Here is a 23,353-nt window from a genome sequence, read left to right as displayed (position 1 = left end):
AGAGTGGAAAAATAATACCTGCCTTGGGTGGTTACTGTGAGGATTGAGATAATCACATGATCTATTTACTATAGTACCCAGCATATTATAAATGTGTAGCATTGTTGTTATTATACTCATCATGGGGAAAGTGAACATATTTGGAAAGCTGGAATAGGTGTCCTGGGTGATCATGAGACAAAGAAGAGCTGAGCCTTGTAGGAACTGGCCCTCGAAAGTCAGGAATCAAGGCTTTCTTTGGTTCTTTTTCTTTCCTGCAACTGCCCACTCTCTGCCTCCCTCTCTTTCTTCACAGGTCTGCACCATGGTGAGCTTTTTCTCAATAGGCTTTTTTGCACTTCCTTGTCAACTTACGCAAGGCTACCCACCACCCCTTTCCAAATCAGAACTTTTCCATTTCTGGTCAGGCACAGTGACTCATGCCTGTAATCCCAGCACTTTGAGAGGCCGAGGCAGGAGGATCACTTGAGCCCAGGAGTTGGAGACCAGCCTGAGCAACACAGTGAGACCCCGTGTATTAGGTTGTATTTGCATTGCTATAAAGAAATATCTGGCCAGGCGTGGTGGCTCATGTCTGTAATCCCAGCACTTTGGGAGGCTGAAGCAGGCAGATCACTTGAGGTCAGGAGTTTGAGACCTGCCTAGCCAACATGGTGAAACCCCGTCTCTACTAAAAATACAAAAATTAGCCTGGCATGGTGGTGCACGCCTGTAATCCCAGCTACTCAGGAGGCTGAAGCACTAGAATTGCTTGAACCTGGGAGGCAGAGGTTGCAGTGAGCCGAGATCACGCCACTGCACTCCAGCCTAGGTGACAGAGTGAGACTGTGTCTTAACAAAAAAAAAAAAAAAGAAAGAAAGAAAAGAAAAAAGAAAGAAAGAAATACCTTAGACTGGGTAATTTATAAAGAAAAGAGGTTTAATTGGCTCATAGTTCTGCAGCTTTACAAGAAGCATGGTGCTAGCATCTGCTCAACTTCTAGGGAGCCCTCAGGAAGCGTACAATCATGGCAGAAGGCAAAGAGGGAGCAGGCACATCATATGGCGAAAGCAGGAGTAGGAGAGAGAGAATAAGTGTAGGGGAGGTGCCACACTTTTTTTTTTTTGAGACGGAGTTCATTTTTTTTTTTCAATTTCACATACATTTATTGAATATTTACTGTGTGCCAGGCACTGTGCTAGCAGCCAAACTAAATATTCTTTAGTTTCAATGAATAATTGATAACGGGAATGTTTTTCCATCATTTCTAGTATAAGTGGGGTTCTTTTTCATTTTTAGTAGAGAGCTATATTTTTGTAGGACAAAACATATAATACTGTCCCCTCTGTTGATATTAAGTCAAATATTTTATCTGTTCAGTCAAAGCCCAGTTCTGGTGTTAATGGGCCTGGATTTAATTAATTAAAGGATTAACTTACTGTATCATTACCTGTGTGCACCAGGCACCCTTCTGAATTGCAGACAGCATGTAGGAAGATCTAACTAAACTTTATTTTTTTTTATTATTTATTTATTTATTTTTTTATTATTATTATACTTTAAGTTTCAGGGTACATGTGCACAATGTGCAGCTTAGTTACATATGTATACATGTGCCATGCTGGTGTGCTGCACCCATTAAGTCATCATTTAGCATTAGGTATATCTCCTAATGCTATCCCTCCCCCCTCCCCCCACCATTTTTTTTTTTTTTTTTTTTGAGATAGAGTTTCACTCTTGATGCCCAGGCTAGAATGCAATGGCGCAATCTCGGTTTACTGCAACCTCCACCTCCTGTGTTCAAGTGATTCTCCTGCCTCAGCCTGCCAAGTAGCTGGCATTACAGGTATGCACCACAACACCTAGCTAATTTTGTATTTTTAGTAGAGATGGGGTTCACCAGGTTGGTCAGGCTGGTCTCGAACTCCTAACCTCAGGTGATCCACCCACCTCAGCCTACCAAAGTGCTGGGATTATAGGCATGAGCCACCGTGCCCGGCCAGTGTCACACATTTTTAAACAACCAGATCTTGTGCAAAGTCAGAGTGAGAGCTCATGTATCACCAGGGGATGGCCCAAGCCACTCATGAGGGATCCACCCCCACTATCCAAATACCTCTCGCTAGACGCCACCTCCAACACTAGGGATTATATCTCAACCTGAGATTTGGGCAGAGACAAATACCCAAACTCTATCACCCTGCCTCTACAAAAAAAAAAAAAAAAAAAAAACCAGAAACAAAAATAGCTGGGTGTATTGGTGTGTGCCTGTAGTCCCAACTACTTAGGAGGCTGAGGTGGGCGGATGACTTGAGCCCAGGAGGTCAAGGCTACAGTGAGCCATGGTCAGGCCACTACACTCCAGCCTGAGCAACAGGGCAAGACCCTGTCTCAAAAAAGAAAAAAAGAAATTTTCCATTTCAAGTCCTTCTGACTGGCAAGGCAAGCTGATGACATGTTTTCTGCAGTGGCTGAGAATGGAGATAGGGTCCATTGAAGGCCAATGGAGTTGAGATTTTCTTAGGAGGGAAAGTATTAACAGCTGTATTTAAGGAAGAGATACCAAATGATCCTTAATTATTTGTATGCATTTGGGTGTCCACTGAGTCCTTTGTTTGCCCCCTCAATAGACTTCTTGAAGAAAGAGAGGTTCTGTTGTATTGTGATTTCCATGGCCACAGTCGTAAGAATAATATCTTCCTGTATGGCTGTAATAACAACAATCGCAAATACTGGCTTCATGAACGAGTCTTTCCTTTAATGTTATGCAAAAATGCACCAGATAAGGTAAGCACATAATGTAATTTTCTCTCCATTGAGTTAGGGACATGGGAACTCACTGCTTCCTATATGTAGTGTTTTATTTGGCATTTTGTATCTCTTTTTATTATCTTTGGTAAATCCGAGCAACCTAGACTTCAAGAATTTAGAAAAGCGTGGTTTTAAGAATTGCTGTGGGGCCAGGCACAGTGGCTCACACCTGTAATCCCAGCACTTTGGGGGGCCAAGGCAAGCAGATTACCTGAGGTCAGGAGTTCGAGACCAGCCTGACCAACACGGAGAAACCCCATCTCTATTAAAAATACAAAAAGTAGCCAGGCATGGTGGCACATGCCTGTAATGCCAGTTACTTGGGAGGCTGAGGCAGGAGAATCGCTTAAACTTGGGAAGCAGAGGTTGCAGTGAGCAGAGATCGTGCCATTGCACTCCAGCCTGGGCAACAAGAGCAGAACTCCATCTCAAAAAAAAAAAGAATTGCTGTGTCCTGCCAGCTACAGTGGCTCATGCCTGTAATCCTAGCACTTTGGGAGGCCGAGGTGGGCATATTGCTTGAGCCCAGGAGTTCAAGACCAGCCTGGGCAACATAGGGAGACCCCTGCCACTACTAAACAATAGAATAAAAAAGAATTGCTGTGTCCATCAACCAATCAACAGATAAATAAAATGTGGTATCCTTTTTTATTTTTTTTTTTGAGACGGAGTCTCGCTCTGTCGAGGCTGGAGTGTAGTGGTGCAATCTTGGCTCACTGCAACCTCTGCCTCCCAGATTCAAGCAATTCTCCTGCCTCAGTTTCCTGAGTAGTTGAGAGTACAGGCATGCACAACCATGCCTGGCTAAATTTTTTTGTACTTTTAGTGGAGACGGGGTTTCACCACGTTGGCTAAGCTGTTCTCAAACTCCTGACCTCAAGTGATCCGCCTGCCCCGGCCTCCCAAAGTGCTGAGATTACAGGCGTGAGCTACTGCGCCCCTCCATAAGTTGAAATTCTTGCATATACAGTTATCTATCACCTATCCTGTGGTGGTTGACCCTGGAAGAAGAGATTGAAGGACAAGCAAAATGCTAATGTCATGAGTCTTCATAGGAAAGGTTATATACTAGAAGATCACAAATAATTGTAAGATATTAAAGAGCTTAATGAAAACAATATAAAAGTTTTTAATAATTGACTAATTTTGTGACAGGCATATACAGGTAATCTTCATTGGTGTAGAAGCTGGTTTTTCACATCATAAATAGATCCACAAAATGTAGCTTTCAGAAGAAGAAAGTAGATTGGATTTTTATTTATTTATTTATTTATTTTACTTATTTTTTTTTCTTCTCCTTATTTTTTTTTTTTGAGACAGAGTCTTGTTCTGTCGCCCAGGATGGAGTGCAGTGGCGCGATCTCGGCTCACTGCAACCTCCATCTCCCAGGTTCAAGCAATTCTCTGCCTCAGCCTCCCGAGGGTCTGGGATTACAGGCACCCGCCACCACACCCAGCTAATTTTTGTATTTTTAATAGAGACAGGGTTTCACCATCTTGGCAAGGCTGGTCTTGAACTCCTGACCACCCGCCTCAGCCTCCCAAAGTGCTGGGATTATAGGTGTGAGCCACCATACCCGTCCTTTTATTTATTTTTTCAAGACGTAGTCTTGCTCTGTCACCCAGATCGTGCAGTAACACGATCTCCACTCACTGCAACCTCCGCCTCCCGGGTTCAAGCAATTCTCCTGCCTCAGCCTCCCGAGTAGCTGAGATTACAGGCAGGCGCCACCATGCCTGGCTACTTTTGTATTTTTAGTAGAGATGGGGTTTAGTAGAGATGGGGTATTTTTAGTAGAGATGTAGGCCAGGCTGGTCTCAAACTCCTTACCTTGTGATCTGCCCGCCTTGGTCTCCCAAAGTGTTGGGATTACAAGCTTGAGCCACCACGCCACGCACGGCCTAGACTGGATTTTTTTAAGTTTTTTTTTTTTTTTTTTAATAGAGACAGGGTCTCACTATGTTGCCTAGGCTGGTCTTGAACTCCTGGGTTCAAGCAACTCTCCCGCCTCACCACCTCAGCCTCCCAAAGTGCTGGGATTACAGGTGTGAGCCACTGCACTGGCTTTAGAAAAGTATTTTAATTTTTTTTTTTTTTGAGATGGAGTCTCACTCTGTCTCCCAGGCTGGAGTGCAGTGGTGTGTCTCAGCTCACTGTAACCTCCACCTCCTGAGTTGAAGTGATTCTCCTACCTCAGCCTCCTGGGTAGCTGGGATTACAGGCACAAGCTACCACACTTGGCTAAATTTTTTTGTATTTTTAGTAGAGACGGGGTTTCACCATGTTGACCAGGATGGTCTCAATCTCCTGACCTCATGATCCACCCACCTCGGCCTCCCAAAGTGCTAGGATTCCAGGGGTTAGCCACTGTGCCTGACCGATATTACAGACTTTTTCCCATAAAGATATATGATAAAAATATTTTGTATTGTTACTCTTATTTGTTTAAAAAAAGAAAAGGAGGAAGCTTTCCTTCCTTCCTCTCTCTCTCTTTTGTTTTTTGAGTCTCGCTCTGTCGCCCAAGCCGGAGTCAGTGGCACGATCTCAGCTCACTGCAACCTCCTCCTCCCAGGTTCAAGTAATTCTCCTGCCTCAGCCTCCTGAGTAGCTGGGATTACAGGTGCATGTTGCCATGCCCGGCTAATTTTTTTGTATTTTTAGTAGAGTCGGGGTTTCGCCATCTTGGCCAGGCTGGTCTCAAATTCCTGACCTCAGGTGATTGGGCCGTCTCGGCCTCCCAAAGTGCTGGGATTACAGGCATGAGCCACCATACCCGGCCTCTCTTTCTCTTTCTCTTCTCTTCTCTTTTTTCTTTTCTTTTTTTCTCTTCTCTTCTTCTTTTTCTTTCTTTCTTTTCCTTTCCTTTCCTTCTTTTCTTTCCTTCTTTTCCTTCTCTTATCTTCTTTTCTTTCTTTCAGGAAATCACACCCAGAACCCATATCTAAAACAAACTAATTGAAGCAGGGAACTCTGTCTCCTCTGCTCCTTCCCTCCATGAAGCAGAAATGCCCTGAGGCTCCTCAATAGAACCCCTGGATTCCACAGAGCACAATTTAAAAATCGCTGGACAATGAGATACTTTCCAACTGCAAAATCTTTTTAGCACGATAGGGTGGATAGAGAGAGGTGCCAAGTGTATATTACAAACTCCAAGTGACACACAAGGGCTGAGGGGTCATAAAAGATAAGGGAGGATATTGAACTCCAAGTGATAAGATTAGTGTAAGGGAGAGGGTTCCAGGCAGAGATTATGGGGGTAAGGAATACACATCATAGACAGAAGATAAACACAACTAGATTTAGGGGTTCAAGTTGGGGAGTGGCAGAAAATAAGTCTTAGAAAGGTTGGCTAGTGCCTTGAATGCCAAACGGATGTTCTAGGAAACCAATTCCTGCAAAATTCTCCTTAGGGGAGTGGGGTGGGGACAACAGGAAGGAAGAGTTCATGGGCAAAAATGTTTGGAAAACATATTGCAAATATACTCTCTTCCCTTTGGAAGATTACAGTCCTCATATTAAACACTCTAAGAGGGCTTGCAGAGAGAGCCTGTTTAGTTTTGTTAACCCTTCATCTCCCTGACTAACATGACCACAGAACTCCTTTTTCCCCTGTAATACCTGTTAACATCCCTCCAAATTAGTATTTTGTGGAACATGCTTTGGGAAATAACATATGGACCCCAAGGAAATTATTCTTGTATCATATTAATGAATCTTAGATATTTTACATTTGCTGATTTATGATTAACAGAAAATTTGGATTTCTTTTTAGTTCTCTTTTCACAGTTGTAATTTTAAGGTCCAAAAATGCAAAGAAGGAACAGGACGAGTTGTTATGTGGCGGATGGGAATCCTAAACAGCTACACCATGGAGTCTACCTTTGGCGGGTCCACCCTGGGTACATTCTCTTTTGTATATCATAGGCCAGCATAGGAAGGGAAATCCAAGCAAAGCATCAGGGAGATAAAATGCCTTTGAATGCTGGGGAGATAACTGATCTAGAGGATTTCTTTGTCTAGACTTATGCTAAATTTGAGTGCCCAACATATGAATGTGAAATATATTTGATGAGGCAGTATGGCATAGTGGTTGCTAAAGACCTGGAATCAGGCCAGGCGCAGTGGCTCACGCCTGTAATCCCAGCACTTTGGGAGGCCAAGGCGGGCAGATCACGAGGTCAGGAGATCAAGACCAGCGTGACCAACATGGTGAAACCCCATCTCTACTAAAAATTAGCTGGGCGTGGTGGCACGTGCCGGTAGTCCCAGCTACTCTGGAGGTTGAGGCAGGAGAATCGCTTGAACCCGGGAGGTGAAGGTTGCAGTGAGCCAAGATCGTGCCATTGCACTCCAGCTTGGGTGACAGAGCGAGACTCTGTCTCAAAACAAACAAACAAACAAACAAAAAACCTGGAATCAGGCAGATAGGGGGTTGAATTTCAGCTGCATTAACAAGTTTTGTGTTCTTGGGTAAATTATCTGGCCTTTTTGAACTTCATTTTTTCTTTCTTTTTTTAATTTTTATTTATTTTGTTTTTTTGAGACAGGGTTTCTTTCACCCAGGCTAGAGTGTAGTGGCATGATCATGGCTCTCTGCATTCTCAACCTCCCAGGCTCAAGCGATTCTCCCACCTTAGCCCGTCGTGTAGCTGGGACTATAGGTGCATGTCACCATGCCTGGCTAATTTTTTTATTTTTTTTGTAGAGACAGGGTCTCCTTATGTTGCTCAAGCTGGCCTCAAACTCCCTGGCTCAAGCAATCCTCCTGCCTCGGCCTCTCAAAGTACTGGGATGGCAGGCATGAACCACCATGCCCAGCCTCATTTTCCTTTTACTGCAATAATAATAGTACTTGCATTGTAGGTACTGCTTAGTGAGATGGTGCATGGAGTGCACTTCCCATAGTGCCTAACATGAAGTAAAAACCCCAGTAATTAGAACCATCATGATTATAATTTTTTCATTGCCAAAGATTCTTCTGAACCAAACTAAAACTAGGAGAGCTACACTCTCCTGAAGCATAATATTCTAGAATAAGAGGTGTTTTGTTTTGTTTTGTTTTGTTTTGTTTTGTTTTGTTTCAGGGTCTCCCTCTGTTACCCAGGCTGGAGTGCAGTGGCGCAATCCCAGCTCACTGAAACCTCGCCTCCCTGGCTCAGGCGATCCTCCCACCTTAGCCTCCAACCTCAGCCTCCTGAGTAGCTGGGACTATAGGCACATGCCACAACGTCAGGCTAATTTTTGTATTTTTTGTAGAGACAAGGTCTCACCATGTTGCCCAGGCTAGTCTCGAACTCCTAGGCTCAAGTGAAGGGCCTGCCTTGGTCTCTCAAAGTGCTGGGATTATAGGCATGAGCCACTGTGCCTGGCCAGTGGTGGTATTTTTTTATTTTTTATTTTTATTTTTTTGAGACAGTCTTGCTGTGTCATCCAGGCTGGAGTGCAGTGGCACGATCTCAGCTCATTGCAAGCTCCACCTCCCGGATTCACGCCATTCTCCTGCCTCAGCCTCCTGAGGAGATAGGACTACAGGCTACAGGCGCCCACCACCACGCCCGGCTAATTTTCTTTGTATTTTTTAGTAGAGACGAGCTTTCACCATGTTAGCCAGGATGGTCTCAATCTCCTGACCTCGTGATCTGCCTGCCTTGGCCTCCCAAAGTGCTGGGATTACAGGCGTAAACCACCCCGCCTGGCCAGTGGTGGTATTTTTAAAAAGATAATCATAAATTAGATTTACATTCAGTCACTAAGATTTAATTGGAAATGTTTGCGGGGTTTTTTTTTTTTCCAGGTAATAAAAGAGACACCCACTTTACCATCGAAGATCTGAAGTCCTTAGGTTATCATGTCTGTGACACCCTTCTGGACTTTTGTGATCCTGACCAAATGAAGGTAAAAATGGGGTTTCAAGAAATGTGATGAAGGCCAGGCATGGTGGCTCACACCTGTAATCCTAGCACTTTGGGAGGCTGAAGTGGGTGGATTGCCTGAGCTCAGGAGTTCAAGACCAGCCTGGGCAACATGGCAAAACCCTCTCTCTACTAAAAATACAAAAAATTAGCTGGTCGTGGTGGCATGTGCCTGTAATCCCAGCTCTCGGGAGGCTGAGGCAGGAGAATCACTTGAACCTAGGAGGCGGAGGTTGCACTGAGTCGAGATCACACCACTGCACTCCAGCCTGGGGGACAGAGCGAGACTCAAAAAAAAAAAAAAGAAATGTGATGATGATGCTGTGGTCAGTTTCACATGGGTCCAAAGTGAGCCCAGTGGAATTATAGGCAATCTTTATTTTCCTCTTACTAGTTTTCTGAAGTTTTTATAATAAAAGAAAATAAGAAAGCCCCCAGACTGCATACTGTCTACAAATGGTAAGACCTCATAATTCACCAAGAAGATGGAGACAGTCCTTTGGAACACCTCTCCCTCACTTCTGGACTTAACCTATGGCAACACCTATTCTTTTTTTTTTCTTTTGAGACAGGATCTGACTCTGTTACCCAGGCTGAAGTGCAATGGGGTGATCACGGCTCATTGCAGCCTCAACACCTTAGCCTCCCAAGTAGTTGAGACCACAAGTATGCACCACCACACACAGCTAATTTTTAAGCTTTTATAGAGACAGGGTTTTTCCGTTCCCAGGCTGGTCTCCAGCTCCTGGGCTCGTGATCCTCCTGCCTCAGCCTCTCAAAGTGCTGGGATTACAAGCATGAGCCACTGTGCCCAGCTACAACACTAATTATCTTTCCTTTTATTTTAGAAAATCAGGTGTCTTTTCTTTTTTTTTTTTTTTTTTTTTTTTTTTTTTTGAGACAGGGTCTCCATCTGTCGCCCAGGCTGGAGTGCAGTGGCGCGAACTTGGCTCACTGCAATCTCCACCTCCCAGGATCATGCAATTCTCCTGCCTCAGTCTACTGAGTAGCTGGGATTACAGGCGTGCACCACCACGTCCGGCTAATTTTTGTATTTTTTAGTACAGATGGGGTTTCACCATATTGGTCAGGCTGGTCTGGAACTCCTGACCTCAGGTAATCTGCCCGCCTCAGCCTCCCAAACTGCTGGGATTATAGGCGCGAGCCACTGTGCCCAGCCAGGTGTCTTTTCTCTTCTCCAAAGTTAGCCCTGCTCTGTGTACACTTGTTGACTTCCCCTATGGCCTTTCTGAGGTCTTGCCTCATTAATTATGTCTTCCCAAACAAACAAACAAACAAAAAACTAATAATAATCATCATCAGGCCGGGTGCAGTGGCTCACACCTCTAATCCCAGCACTTTGGGAGGCTAAGGCTGGCAAATCACAAGGTCAGGAGTTCGAGACCAGCCTGACCAACACGGTGAAACCCCCATCTCTACTAAAAATACAAAAATTTAGCCAGGCGTGGTGGCAAGCGCCTGTAATCCCAGCTGCTCGGGAGGCTGAGGCAGGAGAAACACTTGAACCTGGGAGGCAGAGGTTGCAGTGAGCAGAGATCATGCCACTACACTCCAGCCTGGGTGACAGAGCAAGACTCCGTCTCAAAAAAAATAAAATAATAAAATAAAATAAAATAAAATAAAATAAAATAAAATAAAATAAAATAGAGTATTGCATTGTTGAAGAAGTTGGCAGCCAGGCATGATGGCTCACGCCTGTAATCCCAGCACTTTGGGAGGCCAAGGCGGGCAGATCACGAGGTCAGGAGTTCGAGACCATCCTGGCCAACGTGGTGAAACCCCATCTCTACTAAAAATACAAAAATTAGCTGGGCGTGGTGGTGTGCGCCTGTAGTCCCAGCTACTCAGGAGGCTGAGGCAGGAGAATGGCTTGAACCCAGGGGGCGGAGGTTGCAGTGAGCCAAGATCACGCCACTGTACTCCAGCCTGGAGACAGAGCAAGACTCTGTCTCAAAAAAAAATAAAAAAGAAGAAGTTGGCTCTAGTCAGAGAAAAGTGGCTAGAGCAGTGCTCACTGATGTTCTGCCCTAAAAAAATTTCTATTTGTTCCTCCCGCTCATGTAATTTTCTGTTAACATGTCCTTACTAGCAGGGGTGCAGGTTATTCATCTTTGTGTTCCCAGCAATAAATAAAATGCCTTTCAGCATATACTTAGTAAATATTTGATGAATAAATAAAATGGGCCAGGCATGATGGCTCACGCCTGTAATCCCAGCACTTTGGGAAGCTGAGGCAGGTGGATCACCTGAGGTCGGGAGTTCAAAACCAGCCTGACCAATATGGTGAAACCCTGTTTCTACTAAAAATACAAAATTAGCTGAGTGTGGTGGGGCATGCCTGTAATCCCAGCTACTTGGGAGGCTGAGGCAGGAGAATCGCTTGAACCCAGGAGACAGAGGTTGCAGTGAGCCAAGATAGTGCCATTGTACTCCAGCCTGGGCAACAAGAGTCAAACTCCGTCTCAAAAATAATAATAATAAATAAATAAAATAAAATGAATTAACAAAATAGTTCTTTTTTTCACTTTCATAGTTCACTCAGTGTCTAGCAGAGCTTAAGGAGCTTTTACGACAGGAAATCCACAAGAAATTCCATGAACTTGGACAAGATGTAGATTTAGAAGGAAGTTGGAGTGACATCTCTTTGTCTGACATTGAATCCAGGTAACAAAGAAAAAACAGAGTTTTGTTTTTTTTTAAATACTTTGTTGTTAACCTGGGTGATATAGTGAGATGTTGTCTCTACAAAAAATACAAAAATTAGCTGGGCTTGGTGATCTATGCCTGTAGTCCCAGACACTGGGGAGGCTGAGGTGGGAGGATCACCTGAGCCCAGGAAGTTAAGGCTACAGTGAGCCAAGATCATGCCACTGCACTCCAGCATGGGCGACAGGCTCAGAAACAAAAAACAAAACAAAAGAGTGAATATTCTTTGCCAGCCTCTGTTTTAGCCATTAGAAAGGAGTAGGGAGTTGGGCAGGCAGTTTGTGTAGGGCCTTGTAGGGAACTGCAAAGCCTTTGCCTTTCACTCCAACGGAGATGGAAAGCCTTTGGAAGGTTTTGAGTAGAGAAATATCATGGTTTGACAGGTTTTAGTTTCTTTTTTTTTTTTTTTTTTTTTGAGATGGAGGCTCGCTCTGTCGCCCAGGCTGCAGTGGCGCGATCTCCACTCACCGCAAGCTCCGCCTTCCGGGTTCAGGCCATTCTCCGGGCTCAGCCTCCCGAGTAGCTGGGACTACAGGCGCCTGCAACAACGCCCGGCTAATTTTTTGTATTTTTAGTAGAGATGGGGTTTCACCGTGTTAGCCAGGATGGTCTCAATCTCCTGACCTCGTGATCCACCCGCCTGGGCCTCCCAAAGTGCTGGGATTACAGGCGTGAGCCGCCGCGTCCGGCCCCAGACAGGTTTTAGTTTCAACAGGAACACTGGCTGCTGTGTGAAAAGTAGATCATAAAGAGGGAAGTTCTAAGCAGGGAGACTCAATAGGAGGCTCTTGCAATAATATAGGTAAAAGATAATGGAGGCTTAGACCAATAATACAGGTAAAAGGTAATGGAGGCTTAGACCAGAGTAGCAGCAGTGGTTGTGGGGGGATGTGTGAATTGGTTGGATTCTAGATATATTTTGAAATTATAAACATTAGGATTTGCCTGTGGATTGGATATGGGCATGAGAAAAGAAGAGAATGACTCCACAATTGGTTGGATGGAGTTGCCTTTAGCTGAGATGGGAAAGATCAAAGGAGTGGAAAAAATTAGAGAGGTAGTGAAGATCAGGAGTCTAGTGTTAGGCTTGTTAAGTTTGTAATGTCCATTATATATTTAGTGGAGACCTCGAACAAGCAGTAGGCTATATGGGTCTGGAGTTCAGTGGAGAGGTCCAGTGGACCAATGAGAGAGTCATCATTGGATAGATGACTTTTTTTTCTTGAGACAGGGTGTTGCTCTCCACCCAGGCTGGAGTGCAGTGGTATGATCTCTGCTCACTGCATCCTCAACTTCCTGGGCTCAAGCAATCCTCCTGCCTCAGCTCCCCAAGTAGCTGGGACTACAGGTGTGCACCATCATGCCCGGTTAATTTTTGTGTTTTTTGTAGAGAACAGGTTTTGCCATGTTGCCCAGGCTGGTCTCTAACTACTGAGCTCAACGGATCTGCCCGCCTCAGCCTCCCAAAGTGCTGCGATTACAAGCGTGAGACACCATGCCCAGCCTGGTAGATAATATTTAAACCTTAACACTAGATGGGGACTGGATGAAGTGGCTCACACCTGTAATTCCCACTCTTTGGGAGGCCAAGGCAGGCGGATCACTTGAGGTCAGGAGTTCAAGACCTGCCTGGCCAACATTATGAAACCCCATCTCTATTAAAAATACAAAAATTAGCTGGGTGTGGTGGCACATGCCTGTAATCCCAGCTACTTGGGAGGCTGAGGCGGGAGGGAGGATCGCCTGAACCCGAGAGGTGGAGGTTACTGTGAGCTGGGATTGCGCCACTGCGTTTCAGCCTGGGTGACAGAGTGAGACTCTGGTCTCAAAAAAAAAAAAAAAAAAAAAAAAAACTTAGCAGGGGGTCGGGGTATGCACCTGTAGTCCTAGCTACTTAAGAAGCTGAGGCAGGAGGATTGCTGAGCTCAGAAATTCGAGGTTGCAGTGAGGTATGGCCGCGCTAGTGTACTACAATCTGCGCTATAGAGTGAGACCCTGTCTCAGAAAAAAAAAAAAAAAAAAAAAAAAAGACTGGTGGGATCTCAAGGAAGTAAGTGCAGATAGAGAAGAGGTCCAAGTCTGAGGTTTGAGCTGGATAATACAACTTTAATAGGGGAGGAGCCAGCAAAGGCGACTGAGACGAAGGGACTAGCAAGGCTGAAAAAAAGCAGAAGAGTGATTTTTTAAAAAACCTAAATCAGGCGCGGTGGCTCACACCTGTAATCCCAGGACTTTGGGAGGCCGAGGCTGGCAGATCACCTGATGTCAGGAGTTCAAGACCAGCCTAACCAACATGGAGAAACCTCATCTCTACTAAAAATACAAAATCAGTTGTGTGTGATGGCACATGCCTGTAATCCCAGCTACTCGGGAGGCTGCAGCAGGATAATCACTGGAACCCGGAGACGGAGGTTGCAGTGAGCCGAGATCGCACCATTGCACTCCAGCCTGGGCAACAAGAGCGAAACTCCATCTCAAAAAATGAATGAATAAATAAATAAATAACCTAAATCAGATAATATCATGTATCTGTTGAAAGCACTTCAGTATCTCCCCGACTCAGTTTTAAAAAAAGCCAAAGACCCTACAATGGCCTATAAGGCTATAAGCCTCCTGATACCTCTATGGCCTCCACCCTAACCCTTTTTTTTTTTTTTTTTTTGAGACGGAGTCTCGCTCTGTCACCCAGGCTGGAGTGCAGTGGCACGATCTCAGCTCACTGCAACCTCCGCTTCCCAGGTTCAAGCAATTCTCCTGCCTCAGCCCCTCAAGTAGCTGGGACTACAGGTGCACGCCACCACGCCTGGCTAATTTTTTGTATTTTAGTAGAGACAGGGTTTCACTGTGTTGCCTAGGATAGGCTGGTCTCGAACTCCTGACCTCAGGCAATCTGCCCACCTCGGCCTCCCAAAGTGCTGGGATTACAGGCGTGAGCCACCGCGCCCAGCCAAATGCTGCCTTTTTCAACATGACCTACACACATTACTCTAATGCTACAACTTACTCCCCTCCTTCACCCTCCTGCCACTCCTTATCCCCCTTAGGTGCTCTACTTTTTTCCATAGCATTTATTGCCTCTGTCATTCTGTATCATTTAAGTCTTTACTATATCTGTTTTATTTATTTATTTATTTTTGAGACAGACTTTCACTCTTCTTGCCCAGGCTGGAGTGCAATGGCGTGATCTCCACTCACTGCAACCTCTGTCTCCCAGGTTTAAGCTATTCTCCTGCCTCAGCCTCTCGATTAGCTGGGATTACAGGTGCCCACCACCACGGCTGGCTAATTTTTAGTAGAGATGCGGTTTCACCATGTTGGCCAGGCTGGTCACGAACTCCTGACCTCAGGTGATCCACCCATCTCGGCCTCCTCAAGTGCTGGGATTACAGGCATGAACCACTGCGCCTGGCCAATTTTTTTTTTTTTTTTTTTTTTGAGATGGAGTCTCTCTCTGTCACCCAGGCTGGAGTCCAATGGCGTGATCTCAGCTCACTGCAACCTCCGCTTCCCGGGTTCAAGCAATTCTCCTGCCTCAGTCTCCCGAGTAGCTGGGATTATTACAGGCGCCCACCACCATGCCTGCTAATTTTTTTTTTTCTTTTTGAGACAGAATTTCGCTCTTGTTGCCCAGGCTGGAGTGCAACGGCACGATCTCGGCTCACTGCAGTCTCCACCTCCCGGGCTCAAGCGATTCTCCTGCCTCAGTCTCCCAAATAGCTGGGATTACAGGCATGTGCCACCACGCCTGGCTAATTTTGTACTTTTAGTAGAGATGGGGTTTACTCATATTGGTCAGGCTGGTCTCGAACTCCCGACCTCAGGTGATCCGCCCACCTCGGCCTCCCAAAGTCCTGGGATTACAGGCATGAGCCACTGCGCCCGGCCATCTAATTTTTGTATTTTTAGTAGAGATGGGGTTTCACCATGTTGCCCAGGCTGGTCTTGAACTCCTGACCTCAAGTGATCCACCCACCTTGGCCTCCCAAGGTGCTGGGATGACAAGCATGAGCCACCATGCCCAGCCAATATCTGTTGTTTATTGTCTGTTTCCCTCTACTAGGAGATAGGTTCTGCAAAGTCAGAGATCTTTTCGTTTGCTCTGTATCTCATGCACTTAGAATGGTACTGTTCTGTACCTAGCACAGAGGAAGAGCTCAACAAATATTTTTTGAATTAATTTAGCATTCAGGATCTCATCTGTACCTTCATAGTCTCCCCAGCTATTTAGGAAGCCCCCAAAAGGTTATGTCTCCCAGGTATGCAAGAATACCTTCTACTCTAACTTACTGGCTAAAGTGCCTCGTGGATGACCCAGCTGCTTTCAGGCTTCTGAGCTGGCGTGGAAGTCTTCTGACAGAGGCTGCACTGTAGTCTGTGGTGGACAGTGGAAAAGGGATGGCTCTTCCACCCACTCTATGGCACATTGACATCTGGGCCCAAAAGCAATTCTGAGTCTCACAAATATTTCTTTGGGGACCTTAAACTAGGCCATCAGACCAGGTAGTGTGCCCCATTCACCATGTCATCCCTTCCACTCTCTCAGAATCCTATGCCTAACTCACCAAGACCTCTGCACCAACCCCTCTCCAAATACACCCTCAAAAACAAAATGCCGGCTGGATGCAGTGGCTCACGCCTGTAGTCTTAGCACTTTGGGAGGCCAAGATGGGCGGATCACTTTAGCCCAGGAGTTCAAGACAAGCCTGGGCAACATGGAGAAACCCTATCTCTACAAGAAATGCAAAAAGTAGCCAGTCATGGTGACTCATGCCTGTTGTCCCAGCTACTTGGGAGGCTAAGGTGAGAGGATCATTTGAATCCAGGAGGTCAAGGCTGCAGTGAGTCAAGATTGCACTACTGCACTCCAACCTGAGCGACACAGCGAGACCCTGTCTCAAAAAAAAAAAGTGTGCTCTGCATATCAACTCATAGAAATAGTGCCCAAGATGTGGCTAGGCATGATGGCTCATGTCTGTAATAACGGGTATGATGGCTCATGTCTGTAATCCCAGCACTTTGGGAGACTGAGATGGGAGGATTGTTTGAGGCCAGGAGTTGGAGACCAGCTTGGTCAACATAGTGAGATCCCATTTCTATTTTTTAAAAAATTTAAAAAGAAATAAATAGGGCCCAAGGGGAACCAATTCAGAAACAGGCAGACTCTACAGTCTAGTGGCTCAGCAGGGACACTCTGATGCATATGGTTAAGAATTATTGAACCCAATTTGCCAGCCTCTGCCTCAAGAAACTGGCTGTCACAGTCTCCAGTGGGGTTCCACCTATTCATTGTCACGATTGCAAAGGAAAGCAGACTGTGAGTGTACAAGCCCAGTTTGAGTTTGCTCTGTGTGTGTACACACAAAGGTTTTGACACTTTCTGGGACATACTGCTTTTAGTGCTTTTGTCCCATTTGCTAACATTTTCTACCAACAGGACTTCCAGCATCCTAAAAGGCTACTCCTTGACTAGAAAAACACCTTGTGAGAACAGGGAATTGGGAATTAGGTCAGAGAAGATGGGGTTTTCTTCCTGCTGTCTTTCTGTGGGACTACTACTCATTGTGCACTGAGAGGTGGGAGGGGAGCAGAAACAGAATGAAGGCCTGGGCAGCTGAATGGTTTGAAATCCTGACTTCTCCCATGTGATTCGAGCTCTGTGCCAATAAGTGTTTTTTGTTTGTTTGTTTGTTTGTTTGTTTTTGAGATGGAGTCTCACTCTGTCACCCAAGCTGGAGTGTAGTGGTGCGATCTCGGCTCACTGCATCACTGCAATCTCCACCTCCCGGGTTCAAGCAATTCTCATGCCTCAGCCTCCCGAGTAGCTGGAATTACAGGCACCCGCTACCACACCCAGCTAATTTTTTTTTTGTATTTTTAGTAGAGATGGAGTTTCACAATGTTGGCCAGGCTTGTCTCGAATTCCTGACCTCAAGTGATCTGCCCATCTCGGCCTCCCAAAGTGCTGGGATTACAGGCATGAGCCACCGCGCCTGGCCTTGTGCCAGTAAACTGTGTGTATAGACCCCTGTCATAGAGAACAGCTCTTGGTTCTAGCCAACTAAACCCCAGGAAAGGGGAAAATATAATGTGACACTTAAGCAAAAGACATGAAGAAAGAAAGGTTTGATTATTTAAGTTTTCATTCATCCTAGCCCTTGCAGAAAGGGGGAGGACACAGTTTGTGAGGGAAGACTTTAGATTAGTCTAGATGAGCATCCAAACCTTTTTTTTTTTTTAGAAAGAGTGTCGCTCTGTCGCCCAGGCTAGAGTCAGTGGCGCAATCACAGCTCACTATAGCCTCAACCTCCTGAGCTCAAATGATCCTCCCAGCTCAACCTCCCCAGTAGCTGGGACTATAGGCGTACACCACCACACCTGGCTAATTTTTGTATTTTTTTGTAGAGACAGGGTTTTGCCATGTTGCCCAGGCTGGTCTCAAACTCCTGGGCTCAAGAGATCTTTAAGCCTCAGCCTCCCAAAGTGCTGGGATTACAGGTGTGAACCACTGTGCCCAGCCACCCTTTTTTTTTTTTTAATAGAGACAGGGTATCACTGTGTTGCCCAGTCTGGTCTTTAATTCCTGGCCTCAAGTGATCCCTCCTGCCTTGGCCTCCCAAAGTGTGGGGATTATAGTCATGAGCCACCATGCCTGGCCTCATTCAAAACTTTTGAAGGAAAATTGGGGTGATAAAAGTAATCTTGGTCTCTGACCTGAAGGTTCTTTTTGTTATTTATTTATTTTTTTAGATAGTTTCTTGCCCTGTTGCTCAGACTGGAGTGCAGTGGCACAATCTCGGCTCACTGCAGCCTCAACCCCCTGGGCACTAGTGGTCCTCCTATCTCAGCCTCCCAAGTGTCTGGGACCACAGGAGGCACCACCATTACTAGCTAATTTTAAAAAAAACATTTTTTGTAGATACAGCGACGTACTGTATCGCCCAGGCTCAGATTCTTTATTAAATGCATATGTTTATATATTGAATACATTTCTTCAGAGTACCTGTTAGGATCCTGGATTTCTGAATTGGTACCAGCCAAAGAGGAATAAATGAGAAAGATCCCTTGTTTTCAAACAAATGACAGTCCTCTGCTGTTCTCTAGGCCTGCACATTGAGAATCCTGTAGCCTCTCACAACCTCCACCAAGGGCAATTCTGCCCATCTGGCCAGTATTTGCTTTGCCATATGGACTGCAAACTCTTTGGTGCCAGAGGCTCTGCCTCGTTCATCTGTGTTCCCTGTGCCTAGCACACTGCTTGGCATGCAGTAGGTGTTCGGAGTGAATGAATGAATGTGCTTGTCAAGAATTCTTTTTTGGGTACCGGGTACAGTGGCTCACGCCTGTTATCCCAGCACTTTGGGAGGCCGAGGCGGGAGGATCATGAAGTCAGGAGATCGAGACCATCTTGGCTAACACGGTGAAACCCCATCTCTACTAAAAATACAAAAAATTAGCTGGGCATGGTGGCGGGCACCTGTAGTTCCAGCTACTCGAGACGTTGACATAGGGAGACTCTGTCTCAAAAAAAAATTTTTCTTTTTTTTTTTTATTGAGACAGCTTCACTCTTGTTGCTTAGGCTGGAGTGCAATGGCGCAATCTCGGTTCACTGCAACCTCTGCCTCCCAGGTTCAAGCAATTCTCCTGCCTTAGCCTCCTGAGTAGCTGGGACTACAGGCGTGCGCCACCACACCCAGATAATTTTTTTGTATTAATAGAGACGGGGTTTCACCATGTTAGTCCGGGTGGTCTCAAACTCCTGACCACCTCCTGACCAAGGTGATCCACCCACCTTGGCCTCCCAAAATGCTGAGATTACAGGCGTGTGCCACCGCACCCAGCTGTCAAGAATTCTTAGTGATTGCTTGGGCGCAATTTCTCATACCTGTAATCTAAGTACTTTAAGAGGCTGAGGCAAGAGGATCGCTTGAACACAAAAGTTCAAGACTAGCCCAGGCAACATAGTGGGATCCTGTGACTACAAGAATTTTAAAAATTAGCCAGGCATGGCGGCATGAGCCTGTAGTCTCAGTTGCTCAGAAGGCTGAGGTGGGAGGATCTCTTGAGCCGGGGAGGTCAAGGCTGCAGTGATCTATGATCACAGTACTGCACTCCAGCCTGGGTGACAGAGTGAGACCCTGTCCCAAAAATATAAAAAAGGAAGAAAATAATAATTTTTAGTAATTGAAGCATAGACAATGAGAGAAATAGTAGACTAGAAGATATCCTAATCCTAATCCCATACAGCTGGTCTGGTAAATGTTATGCTTCCTAGACATATCAATGACAGTTATTTCCTCTTCTTTTTTTCTTTTGGAAACAGCACCAGTGGCTCTGACAGTTCTCTCTCAGATGGTCTTCCTGTTCACCTAGCAAACATAGCAGATGAGGTAAGCTGAACTCTTATACCCAGGAAATAGCAGCCTTAAAAAAAAGTCATGACACTACCAGACAATTTGTTGGAATTTTCCAACAGTCCTAAGACCTGCAGAAAATATACAGTAATGTCCTAACTAGTCACCTTGCCCTAAAGTCTCTTGTTTTGTCCTTTATAACTTTCTTGCTTAATTTTTAAGGCCATCTTAAGGTAACACCCAAACTGAATCTTTTAACCACACATTTAATGATCATTAATATCTGGGCCTGATATTATTGCCATAAGTAATCTGATTTCATATTGTAAATCACAGATATTTGGTTATTAGTATAAGTGCCCCTTTGTGTTTTTTTGTTTGTTTGTTTGTCTTTTGAGATGGAGTCTTGCTCTGTCTCCTAGGCTGGAGTGCAGTGGCGCAAACTTCCGCCTTCTGGGTTCAAGCAATTCTCCTGCCTCAGCCTCCTGAGTAGCTGGGATTACAGGCACATGCCACCACGCCCGGCTAATTTTTGTATTTTTAGTAGAGATGGGGTTGGCCATCCTGGTCTCAAACTCCTGACCTCGTGATCTGCCCGCCTTGGCCTCCCAAAGTGCTGGGAATATAGGCGTGAGCTGCTGCACTGGGCCTTTTTTTTTTTTTTTTTTGAGATGGAGTCTCACTCTGTCGCCTAGGCTGGAGTTCAGGGGCGTGATCTCAGCTTACTGCAACCTCCACCTCCCAGGTTCAAGCAATTCTCCTGCCTCAGCCTCCTGAGTAACTGGGATTACAGGCACCTGCCACCTCACCCGGCTAATTTTAGTATTTTTAGTAGAGGTGGGGTTTTACCATGTTGGCCAGGCTGGTCTCAAACTCCTGACCTGAAGTGATCCACCCGCTTCAGCCTCCCCAAGTGTTGGGATTACAGGCATGAGCCACCATGCCCAACCATAAGTACCCCTTTGGCAGTTTATCTGTAACAGTGTGATTTGGGGGTATTAAGTAGGAAGCATCCTCCAGTAAGGAGGGAACTGAACTGTTTGTTTATTCTCCAAACCAACACCACAAATCTGCATACCGAGTTAGCCTTTGTGTCTTGAGTGTTGCATGAAGAGTGCCACATGTGGGTGGGCCTAGTTCTGGAATCTTCAATGACCAGTTTCTCTACTTTCTGGAATAGCTGACTCAGAAAAAGAAGATGTTTAAGAAGAAAAAAAAGAAGTCACTTCAGACTAGGAAACAGCGAAATGAGCAGTATCAGAAAAAAAATTTGATGCAGAAGTTAAAGTTAACAGAAGATACCTCAGTAAGAAAGACTTGCTGGCTATTTCTACTGTCTAGTTTCAGACCATTCCATAGAGGGATAAGGAAAGGGGGTTAAAGTTTACTCTAAACCAAAAAGGGGATGGAGATTGGGGCAGAGGGAGACTTTCTGTTTTGCGATCAGAACCCTTCCAGGGGCCCTCCGGACATCTCCGAGCAGGTTTTGGCCTTGGCCCACTGAACCTCTCCTACACTCTGGCATAAGAAATCTGGGTTTTAGCCAAGTCTGAATTTCCAGAGAAAATACATGATACTGGAATGGTAGTGGCTAGAGCTAGTCAGGAGTAGATGGATGGCTGGGGGCCAGGCCTGGTCCAGGCTAAGACAGCTGGATAGCTCATCAATCTTTGTCCAAGCTGCCACACTCCCACCATACCCTCTGCTTTCTAAAGACAAACGTGCTTTCAGAAGTACAAGTTTTGCTGTTGGGTAAATTGGATCAATTTTGAATAGATCAATTGAAAAAGATTCTCTTTTCACTCAATCCTAGGAAAAGGCAGGATTTGCTTCTACTCTGCAAAAGCAGCCAACCTTTTTCAAAAACTCAGAGAATTCCAGTTTTTTACCAATGAAAAATGAAAACCCAAGGTTAAATGAGGTAGTATTTTTGTTTTTGACTCTTTGTCACACAGATTCTCTAACCTCTCGAATTAGCACCTCTCTCCCACAATGTGACAAATGTAATAGCCATTTACGTTACCCTAACCTGACAGTGCCACTGGGAGCAAGAAAACATTAAAACTGGGGGAGACATTGACACTGCTTTGGATTAGACATGACTGAAGTCTGGAATCAAATATTGGTGATTTGTGATTTTACACCAAGAACATAAGAACAGGCTGCCTTACTTACCATCCATTCATCCCTCTACTCACCCATCTACTCAATCAGCAAATGTTATTTTAAAATAAATCAATGAATTTTATTGGGCACCTACTACATGCCAGTCCCTTTACTGGATGCTGTGAATGCAACCTTGAACAAAATACTATCCCTGCCTCGGGGACTTCAGAATCTGGTGGAGATTTCAGCAAGTAAGTAGGAAATTGTATCACAGAGTAGGATGCAGTGGCAACACAGAGGAGAGACACTCAGCCAATGTTTAGTACTTTATAGTTTTATGGCTATAAAATCTTTGATTTTTTTTCTTTTTTTTTTTTTTGAGATGGAGTCTTACTCTGTTACCCAGGCTGGAGTGCAGAGGCAATCTCAGCTCACTGCAACTTCCACCTCTTGGGTTCAAGTGATTCTCGGGTCTCAGCCTCTGGAGTAGCTGGGATTACAGGTGCCCACCACCATGCTCGGCTAATTTTTGTATTTTTAGTAGAGACAGGGTTTCGACATGTTGCCCAGGCTGGTCTCAAACTGCTAAACTCAAGTAATCCACCCACTTTGGCCTCCCAAAGTGCTGGGATTACAGGCATGAGCTACCATGCCCAGTCAAAATCATTGATTTTTTTGTGTAAAAAAATAGGCTGTCCGGCCATGGTGGCTCACACCTGAAAGCCCAACACTTTGTGTGTTTTCTTTTTTGTTTCTTTTTTTGAGACAGAGTCTCATTCTGTCACGCAGGCTTGAGTTCAGTGGCGCGATCTCAGCTCACTACAACCTCCACTTCCCGGGTTCAAGTGATTCTCCCGCCTCAGCCTCCCGAGTAGCTGGGATTACAGGCACATGCCACCTTGCCTGGCTAATTTTTTATTTTTAGTACAGACGGGGTTTCACCATGTTGGCCAGGCTGGTTTTGAACTTCTGATCTCAGGTGATCCGCCTGCCTCAGCCTCCCAAAGTGCTGGGATTACAGGTGTGAGCCACTACGCCTGGCCAAACCCAACACTTTGGAAAGCCGAGGCAGGAGGATCACTGGAGCCCAGGAGTTCAAGACCAGCCTGCACAACATAGTGAAACCTCATCTCTACAAAAAATAAACAAAAATTAGCTGGGCATAGTGGTGCACATAGTCCCACCTATCTGAGACACTGAGGTGGGCAGATCACATGAGACCAGAGTTGGAGGCTGCAGTGAGCCATGATCATACCACTGTACTCCAGCCTGGGTGGCCAGGCACGGTGGCTCACATCTGTAATCCCAGCACTTTGGAAGGCTGAGAGAGGAGGACTGCTTGAGTCCAGAAGTTTGAGACTAGCTCTGGCAACATAGCAAGACCCCATCTCTACAAAAATTTTTTTTAAAAATTAGCTAGGCATGGCTGGGCACGGTGGCTCATACCGGTAATCTCAGCACTTT

At 45.4% G+C, this 23,353-nt stretch overlaps 1 protein-coding gene across 1 annotated transcript in view, besides 1 other annotated feature; it reads left to right on the top strand.

Moving 5' to 3' along the window:
- AGBL2 (AGBL carboxypeptidase 2) overlaps positions 1-23,353 on the top strand; it is a 55,779-nt gene that overhangs the window by 26,710 nt on the left and 5,716 nt on the right. Inside the window, exons 11-17 of the mRNA NM_024783.4 lie at positions 2,611-2,767; positions 6,565-6,691; positions 8,587-8,687; positions 11,259-11,389; positions 19,753-19,819; positions 20,964-21,089; positions 21,597-21,704. Of these exons, the coding sequence (NP_079059.2) occupies positions 2,611-2,767; positions 6,565-6,691; positions 8,587-8,687; positions 11,259-11,389; positions 19,753-19,819; positions 20,964-21,089; positions 21,597-21,704 (817 nt within the window). The remainder of the gene's footprint in view (positions 1-2,610; positions 2,768-6,564; positions 6,692-8,586; positions 8,688-11,258; positions 11,390-19,752; positions 19,820-20,963; positions 21,090-21,596; positions 21,705-23,353) is intronic.
- Positions 8,229-8,523: a silencer, noted in NCBI's record as "tiled region #12296; K562 Repressive DNase matched - State 5:Enh". NCBI's record gives its function as "represses a minimal TATA promoter and a strong SV40 promoter by Sharpr-MPRA in K562 cells {active_cell/tissue: K562}" and the evidence as "EXISTENCE:reporter gene assay evidence [ECO:0000049][PMID:27701403]".

The sequence above is a fragment of the Homo sapiens genome, chromosome 11 (assembly GCF_000001405.40).
Source record: "Homo sapiens chromosome 11, GRCh38.p14 Primary Assembly".
Taxonomy (NCBI): domain Eukaryota; kingdom Metazoa; phylum Chordata; class Mammalia; order Primates; family Hominidae; genus Homo; species Homo sapiens.
This window is presented reverse-complemented; position numbering and strand designations above follow the sequence as displayed.